The 9,182-nt window shown below is 40.5% G+C and overlaps 1 annotated feature.

Annotated features, from left to right (window-relative positions):
* Positions 7,630-8,829: an enhancer, noted in NCBI's record as "BRD4-independent group 4 enhancer chr15:68238558-68239757 (GRCh37/hg19 assembly coordinates)". NCBI's record gives its function as "activates an origin of replication core promoter dependent on BRD2, P300/CBP, MED14 and CDK7 cofactors, and independent of BRD4, by STARR-seq in HCT116 cells {active_cell/tissue: HCT116}" and the evidence as "EXISTENCE:reporter gene assay evidence [ECO:0000049][PMID:35650434]".

The raw sequence follows: 9,182 nt of genomic DNA, 5'->3' as shown, positions 1-9,182 counted from the left end.
ACTGAAGAATTTGGGGAGGACTTGAAACTGCACTGAAACATGACCATCACCAAACAAGGTGAAACCTCCCGAGCACACTGTGTACTGCCTGAAGAAAGAGCTGGCAGAAGAGGAATAGTTTCCCAGGCATCTGTGCAAAGATGGCCCAGGGGAAAATGCTGCACAGGAAATGGTGATCCTAGTGAACACAAGCTTTCCGATAAAAGGAGAGGCATACTTGGTTTAGGAACAGGAACCTGTCATGTCTGGATGAAATATGTGTCAGAATTATCCATTTCCCCTGGGCAAGGCTTACCTTCTGGGAAGGCAATGTCTTAGGCAGCAGACACGAGGATTTCACTAAATCTAAAGAACTACCTCCATTTAATATCAAGTAATTGCTCATTTTTGATGCCCAATAGTGTCTTATGAGTGTGGCTAATGTGACATCAGCCTGAACATTTCCAGATTTGCATAGCTAAGGACTGAGTAGATCCACGGAAGTAGAAATCCCACCCTGGTATGGCCTGCCTGCAGAGCAATCACTGCCTCAGGTCACAGCCTTATCTTACCATGCCTTTTGTTAGTGCAGAACCTATTCCACAAAAACTCATGTGATGATAGGGCACTGTTTATGACAGCAAAATAGTGCAAACAACTCAAATGTCTCCAGGAAGGGATTGGTAGAATAAACTGTTACACAGTGGAGTATTATATGGCTGTAAAAAAGGAGGAGGAAGATGTTTATAACCAGTGCTTTCTGAAAGAAATTTCTGTGATAATGGACATATTCTATTCTTGGACAAATGGTAGCCATCAGCCGCATGTGGTTATTGACTGCTTGAAATGTGAATAGTTCAGCTAAGGAACTAATCTTGTTTTTTTTTAAGACAGAGTCTCACTCTGTCACCCAGGCTGGAGTGCAGTGGTGCTATCTTGGCTCACGGCAACTGCTGCCTCCTGGGTTCAAGCCATTCTTGTGCCTCAGCCTCCCCAGTCGCTGGGATTATAGGTTCGTGCCACCACACTTGGCTAATTTTTGTATTTTTAGTAGAGACGGGGTTTTGCCATGTTGGCCAGGCTGGTCTCCAACTCCTGGCCTCAAGTGATCCACCTGCCTCAGCCTCCCACAGTGCTGGGATTACAGGCGTGAGCCACTGCACCCAGCTAAATTTTAATTGTATTTAATTTTTGCTTAATAGCCATATATGGGTAGTGACTATTTTATTGGACAGCACTGCTTAATACAGATCTCCAGGATAGATTGTTAAGTGAAAACACAATATACAGGAAGTGTAGACCAGTGTATATAGGATGTTACTTTCTGTGAATGAAAGGAAGAGAAAAACATATGCATTACTTATATTTGTGGAAGTTGCATAAAAACACTGAAAGGATAAATTTAAATGGTTGCCTCTTCGACAAGAACAGGATGGAATGAAAGTGAGACTTTGCAGTGTGTGTGGTTTTTTTTTTTATTTTAATTTCCCTTTTCATTTTTTTTTTTTCTTTTTGAGACAGGGTCTTGCTTAGTCACTCAGGCTGGAGTGCAGTGGTGCAGTCACAGCTCACTGCAGCCTCAACCTCCCAGGCTCCTCTGGCCTCAGCTCCTGAGTAGCTGGTGACATATGCACCACCATGCCTGGCTAAGTTTTGTATTTTTTTTTGTAGAGATGGAGTTTTCACCATGTTGCCCAGGGTGGTCTTGAACTCCTGGGCTCAAGTGATTCTCCCGCCTTGGCCTCCCAAAATGCTGCAATTACAGGTGTGAGCCACCATGCCCAGTTCTAGATTCTTTAAATTGTGCTAAAAATAAATAAATAAATAAATAAATAAATAAAAATAACATAAAATTTACCATCTTAACCATTTTATAAAATTAATAAACTTTACTTTTTAGGACAGTTTTGGGTTCACAAAAAAACTGAGTAGAAAGTACAGAGAGTTCCCATCCCCACTCCTGTCCCCACGTACGCACAGCCTTCCACTATCAACATCCCATACCACAATGGTACCTTTGTTACAAGCAGTGAACCTTCATGGGTACAGCATTATTACCCAAAGTTCATAGTTTACATTAGGATTCACTCTTGGTGGTATACATTCTATGGATTTTGACATACATATAATGACATGTATCTACCATTGTATACATGTATAATGACGTATGTATAATGACATGCATCACACAGAATAGTTTCACTGACCTAAAAATCCTTCATGCTCTGCCTATTCATACCTCTCTCCCTTCTAACCCCTGGCAGCCACTAATCTTTTTACTGTCTCCATAGTTTTGGCTTTTCCAGAATGCTCTATAGCTGGTATTATACAGTCTGCAACATTTTCACATTGGAAAATGCATTAGTAATATGCATTTAAATTTCCTCTATGTCTTTTCATGGCATGATAGCTCATTTCTTTTTAGTGTTGAATCACTTGACATTGTCTGCATATACCAAAGTTTATTTATCCATTTGCCTATGAAAGGACATATTGATTGCTTCCAAGTTTTAGCAATTATTAATAAAGCTGCCGACTACTATAAACATCTGTTGCAGGTTTTTGTGTGGATGTAAGTTTTCAAATCATTTGGGTAAATAACAAGAAGTGTAATTGATTGATTATACGGTAAGAGTATATATAGTTTTGTGAGAAACTGTCAAAAAGTCTTCCAAAGTGGCTGTACCATTTTGTATTCCCACCAGCAATGAATGAGAGTTCCTGCTGTTCCAGACCCTCATCAGCTTTTGGTGTTGTCAGTATTTTGGATTTTGGACATTCTAATAGGTATGTAATGGTATCTCATTGTTATTTTAATTTGTAATTTCCTAATGATGTATGATGCTTAATATATTTTCATGTGCTTTTACTTGCCATCTGTAGATCTTCTTTGGTGAGATATCTTTCAGGTCTTTGTCTATTTTTTAATCAAGTTGTTTGTTTCCTTGTTGAGTTCTAAGAGTTCTTTGTATATTTTGGGTAACAGTCCTTTATCAGTTATATCTTTTGCATATATTTTCTCCCTGTCTATGGTTGTATTCTCATTCTTTTGACATTGTCTTTTGCTGAGCAGTTCTAAACTTTAATGAAATCCAGCAAATCAATTATTTATTTCATGGATTGTGCCTTTGGTGTTGTATCTAAAAAGTCATGACCATAGCCCAGGCCACCTAGGTTTTCTCCTATGTTATCTTCTAGGAGTAGTGTAGTTTTACATTTCACATTTTACATTTCAGTCTATGATCTATTTTGAATTAATTTTGGGGAAGAGTGTAAAGTCTGTTTCTAGATTCATTTTCTGCATGTGGATGTCCAGTTGTTCCAGTACCATTTTTTGAAAAAATTAGCCATTTTTAGGTGTCTAGTTCAGTAATGTTAAGTATAGTCACATTATTGTGAAACAGATCTTCTGAACTTTTTCATCTTGCAAATCTGAAATTCTATACCCATTTCTATTAGTCCATTTTCACACTGCAGATAAAGACATACCTGAGACTGGGTAATTTATAAAGAAAAAGAGGTTTAATGGACTCACAGATCCACGTGGCTGGGGAAGCCTCTCAATCATGGCAGAAAGTGAAAGGCATGTCTTACATGACTGCAGACAAGAGAGAATTTGTGCAGGGAAACTCCCCTTTATAAAACCATCAGATCTCCTGAGACTTATTCACTATCACAGGAATAGCACGGGAAAGACCCACACTCCTCATGATTCAATTACCTCCCACAGGGTCCCTCCCATGAGACGTGGGAATTGTGGGAGCTACAATCCAAGATGAGATTTGGGTAGGGACACAGCCAAACCATATCACCATTAAACAACCCCTCCCCTTTTCCCCCTCCCCTAAGTCCTTGGTAACCACCATTCTACTTGTTATTTCTATAAATTTGACTAAGTATCTCATATAGGCCAGGCATGGTGGCTCATGCCTGTAATCCCAGCACTTTGGGAGGCCAAGGTGGGAGGAATCACTTGAGGCCAGGACTTTGAGACAAGCCTGAGCAACCTAGCAAGATTCCATCTCTACAAAAATTTTAAAAATTAGCTGGAAGTGGTGGTGCACACCTGTAATCGCTGTACTTCGGGAGGCCAAGATGAGAGGATTGCTTGAATCCAGGAGTTTGACACCAGCCTGGGCAAGATGGTGAGAGCCCATCTCTTAAAAAAAAGAAAAGGGATAGATCATAGATTTTGCTCTCTTTTTGGGTACTCATTGACTTCCTGCTAGTAGATAGTCATAGATATGTAAATCACTGTTTTTCTTTTTCACCTCAGTTGCCTGAAAGCACAGAGTTAAACGTAGTGCTTAGCTACATGTCTTCCATTCATCTAGATTTTTAGTATAACCCTCCTTACCTGCTTTTGTTAATTTGTCTATGTTCCCGAATTTCATTTTAAGCTCACTCTAATGCTTTTTGAGGCAAAAGAGTCAAAAAAAAGAAGAGAAAAAATAGTCATAAAATACTTAATTTAAGAAGACAGGAAAAAAAGATGATGAGAAAATAGACACTTACACTTTTTTTCTTTTTTAAGAGACAGGGTCTTACTCTGTTGCCCAGGCTTGAGTGAGGTGGTGAAATCATGGATCACTGCAGGCTCAACCTCCTGGGCTGAGGAGATCCTCCCTCCTCAGCCTCTTGAGTAGCTAGGACTGCAGGCATGCACCATCATGCCCAGCTAATTTTTTAAAAATTTTTTTGTAGAGACAGGGTCTTGCTCTGTTGCCCAGGCTGGTCTCAAACTCCTCCTGGCCTCAAGGGATCCTCCCGCCTTGACTTCCCAAAGCGTTGGGATTATGGGCACAAGCCGCCATGCCCAACCTCTTACACATTTTTGGCAGAAGTTTAAAATGATATCACCTTTTTAGGATGTAATTTGAAAGTATTAAGTTTTTAAATATGAATAGTCTTTGATTCAATAGTTCTTCTAGTCATTTGTCTGACATAAAGACTTGCAAAATTGTGTAAGAAGTACAAAAGATATTTGTTGTGCATTATAAACAATAATGAAAAATTATAACTAATCTAAATATCCATCAATAGGGGAAAGGTTAAGTTTTCAAAAAAGCATGCAGAGGACCTGGGGCCTACATACTTGAGTGATCAAGTATAGAATAATCTGTAGCGCTGTAATAATGATTAAGTATGGAATAATGTGTAGAGCTGCTGTTCTCAAGCTTTTTGGTCTCAGTACCCTCTTAATGCTCTTATAAATTATTGAGGATCCCAAGGGACTTTTTTTTTTTTTTGAGACGGAGTCTCACTCTGTCACCAGGGTGGAGTGCAGTGGCACAATCTCAGCTCACTGCAACCTCTGCCTCCCAGATTCAAGTGATTCCCCTGCCTCAGCCTCCTGAGTAGTTGGGATTACAGGCACGCACCACCACACCCAGCTAATTTTTGTATTTTTAGTAGAGATGGGGTTTCACCATGTTGGCCAGGATGGTCTTGATCTCTTGACCTCGTGATCTGCCTGTCTCGGCCTCCCAAAGTGCTGGGATTACAGGTGTGAGCCACCACGCCTGGCTGGAGATTTTCTTATGTAGGCTATGTCTATCAATAGTTATTGTATTAAACATTAAGATAATTTCAAAAAATGAGTTTCTTAATTTTAAATAATGGTAATAAACTCATTGCATGTTACTATAAATCATATCCTTTTTATGAAAGTTAACTATATCAAAACATTTAGTGAGAAGACTGGCATTGTCTCACATTTTTTCAAATGTGTTTTAATATCTGGCTTAATATAAGACAGTTGCATTCTCATATCTGCTTTGGCATTAAATCTGTTGTGATATGTTGTTTTGGTTGAAGTACATGAAGAAAATCTGGTCTCACAAACACACGTAGTTGAAAAAGGAGGATTATTTTAATAGTCTTTCCAGATTATTATGGCTATTGTTCTTTGATTGTTTACCAAAATTTGACAAGTGGTAGTTTCTGAAAGGTTAGTGGCAACGTGGATTCTAAATCATATCAATGAGGCCGGGTGCGGTGGCTCAAGCCTGTAATCTCAGCACTTTGGGAAGCCAACGTGGGGAGATCACTTGAGGTCGGGAGTTCGTGACCAGCCCAGCCAACATGGTAAAACCCCGTCTCCACTAAAAATACAAAAATTAGCCAGGTGTGGTGGCAGGTGCCTGTAATCCCAGCTACTCAGGAGTCTGAGGCAGGAGAATTGCCCGAACCCAGGAGGCAGGGGTTGCAGCGGGCCAAGATCACACCAGTGTACCCCAGCCTGGGCAGCAGAGTGAGATTCCATCTCAAAAATAAATAAATAAATAAAATAAAAATAAAAAATAAATCATATCAATGAACAATCTATACCGTTACATTAAAATCCATTGGTTTATCTTCCACAAATGATTTTATAACATTATGCATGAGTCTTTGAAAAATATTGGTTCACTAAGTTATGTAGCTCTAATATTAACACATTTTATTAACAGCATCAAAAATCACATTTATTATCACCACCCCTTTCATCACTAAAGTCTTTAAGTGTTGGGAAGCTGTCCAACTCACAGTGGAAAATATAAGTCTTTGGAAATTCTAATGTTTGCTTGAAAGCTTAAACTTTCCCATCAGCGATAGTCTGGATAAAGAAAACATGTTACATATACACCATGGAGTACTATGCAGCCATAAAAAAGCACAGGATTATGTCTTTGCAGGGACATGGATGGAGCTGGAGGTCATTATCTTTAGAAAACTAACACAGGAACAGAAAACCAAATACTACGTGTTCTCACTCATAAGTGGGAGCTAAATGATGGGAACACATGGACACATAGAGGGGAATACCACACACTGGGGCCTGTAGGAGGATGGAGGGTGGCAGGAGGGAGAGGATCAGGAAAAATACCTAGTAGGTCCTTTGCTTAATATCTGGGTGACAAAATAATCTGTACAACAAACCCCTATGATACAAGTTTACCTATGTAACAAACCTACACAGGTACCCCTGAACTTAAAAGTTAAAAAGAAAATAAAAGAAAGCTGAAACTTCATCATTAGTAACAAATACTGTCAGTTTCCTTGAAATGACAGGTTCATTTCATTCATTTTTTGAGAAAATGTCTGAAAATTCCCAAATCTGAACAACCATAGTTTGTCAGTCATTATTTCGAGTAAAAATGATGTTCCCTGGTGGGGGACAGGGCGACTGGGGGACAGTGAATTCAGCTTGCAACACAAACAGCTGCACGAGTGTCTCCTCGGATGGTCAGTGGACTTTGGAATGCAGCAGGGCTTAAGCATACTTCTCATCTCTTCATGCAGAATCTTAAAAAGGCAGGTACGCCAGGGTTGAAATTTAATACAATTTATCATCTTTACTACTTCATTAAGGACATTCTTTAAGAAACTGGCATTTCGGCTCCTCTGAGAGTGTAGTAGTGAAGGACAGAATACCCACCAGGACAGTTCAAGGAGCCACCTCCTTGATCTAAGACACTAGCAGTTTTTACCCACTTTTACTTTTTGCAACATCAGTACAAATGTCAACACTGTGGGAAAAAAAGCAAATTTTGTCTTAGTGTTATTATAAAAATAGCTTTGGCCTTGTGGACCCCTGAAATGGTCTCAGGGATCTTCATGAATTCACAGACCTGCTGACGTGGCATATAATACCTTTTTTGCTGAAAAAAAAAGAAAAAAGTAAAGAAAGAAAGAAAGAAAACCAAAATGTTAAGTGTCTACCTTTAGCAGTAGAAAGCGATAAAGTGATGCTTTTTATTTCATGTACTTTTCTATCTTTTGAATCCTTTACAATGAGTATGTATTTCTTAAGTAATTAAAAACACTAAAGAAAAAGATTAAATTTAAATTATAAACAACAATTACAGCATACTTCGAGAATGTAAAATGCCCCTTAGTAGTACCCTCATACTGAAAATATGAAGAGATTAGATACATAAAACAGGAAGCTTAAATTATTAAAAAACAAGACAAAACAAAAACCTCACCCGAAGAAATACCTTATTTCCCACAGGACTGGAGGAAGGAAGTGTTGCTGTGCGTAAGCAGAGGCAGCCACCAGATTCAGGTGGCTGAAATTAACGACTTTGCTGATACCTTTAGATGCAGTTCAGACATAAATCTGAAACACACTCTCTCTAAACAGCAACAGGATTAGACATGAAGAGTGACTTGACACTTCAGAAACCTCACAGCTTCTTTCTCAGAGGAAAGAGAAAATCAGGCACAGGACCTGGGGCCTACAAAGCAGGTATTAAGTTTCTCTTTTGTGCCTGAAGCTCTCAGCTCCATGCCCTCTTCCCTCTAGGCTTAGCCCCAGTCACCTCTTGCCCTTGCAGTCTCCAGTGCCCTTCTGATCTCCTCTCCTCTGCCTCCGGCTAAGCCTCTTGGTGTGAAAGACCCTGATATCAGTCATCCACGCCCTAGCATAAATGAGCCCCCATTACCAGGCTTCCTCCCTGGTGCATTTGCTTGTCAGGCTAATCTCTGATGATGCAGTACAAGGCTGGGTCCCACAGGCAAGGCAGTTTAGGTGTTACTGAGCAACTGGTGGGGAAGGCTTTCCCCCAGGCTTCTTGAGTCATTCTCCATGAGTAGCTACCCCTCTTTGCTGTGACATCACACTGCAATGCTGCCCCTCTCTGCCGTGTGACATCAAAGAAGTTATGGTCCCTTCCTGGGCTCTGTAAACCAGGTGGGTCAGACTAGTGACCTCCCAGGTGGACCCTGCTCCAGGATTCTGAGACTGAACCCCTTTAATGCAGAGCGGCGGTATCTCAGGCCTTGGGAAATGGCATCTTTGTTTTCTGTTTCTGAATTAAAAGACAATTCAAAGGAAGCTCCCCACACACTCTCCCTGCAGTTTGCCCCCCTTCCCCTTCTCTTCCTCTTGACCTGTGTCTCCAGGGGGAAGATCAAACAAAGAGGTTGCAGAGGGTGGTGGAATGCTGTGTTTGGTTATAATCCCAGGCTGGATGTGATTACAAAGTTCCTGTGCCTGGGGCAACGCACAGGGGAATGTGGTGGGAGGGACACTGAGCTCTAAGAACACGTGCTCCTCCTCATGCCCCACCCACATATGCATGCAGGCCCCACCACAAGACTGTGAGGTGCTGAAGTTTGTCCCCAAACTCCCACCCCCACCCCGTGTGTGCCCCCAGTCGCCTTAAGAGATCTTTTTATGGGTATTTGCTTTTTCCGTAAGGACTACTGGAAGATGG

Source organism: Homo sapiens, chromosome 15 (genome assembly GCF_000001405.40).
Source record: "Homo sapiens chromosome 15, GRCh38.p14 Primary Assembly".
NCBI classification, from domain to species: Eukaryota; Metazoa; Chordata; class Mammalia; order Primates; family Hominidae; genus Homo; species Homo sapiens.
The sequence above is the reverse complement of the archived record's forward strand: the minus strand, read 5'-3'. Positions and strand labels throughout refer to the sequence as shown.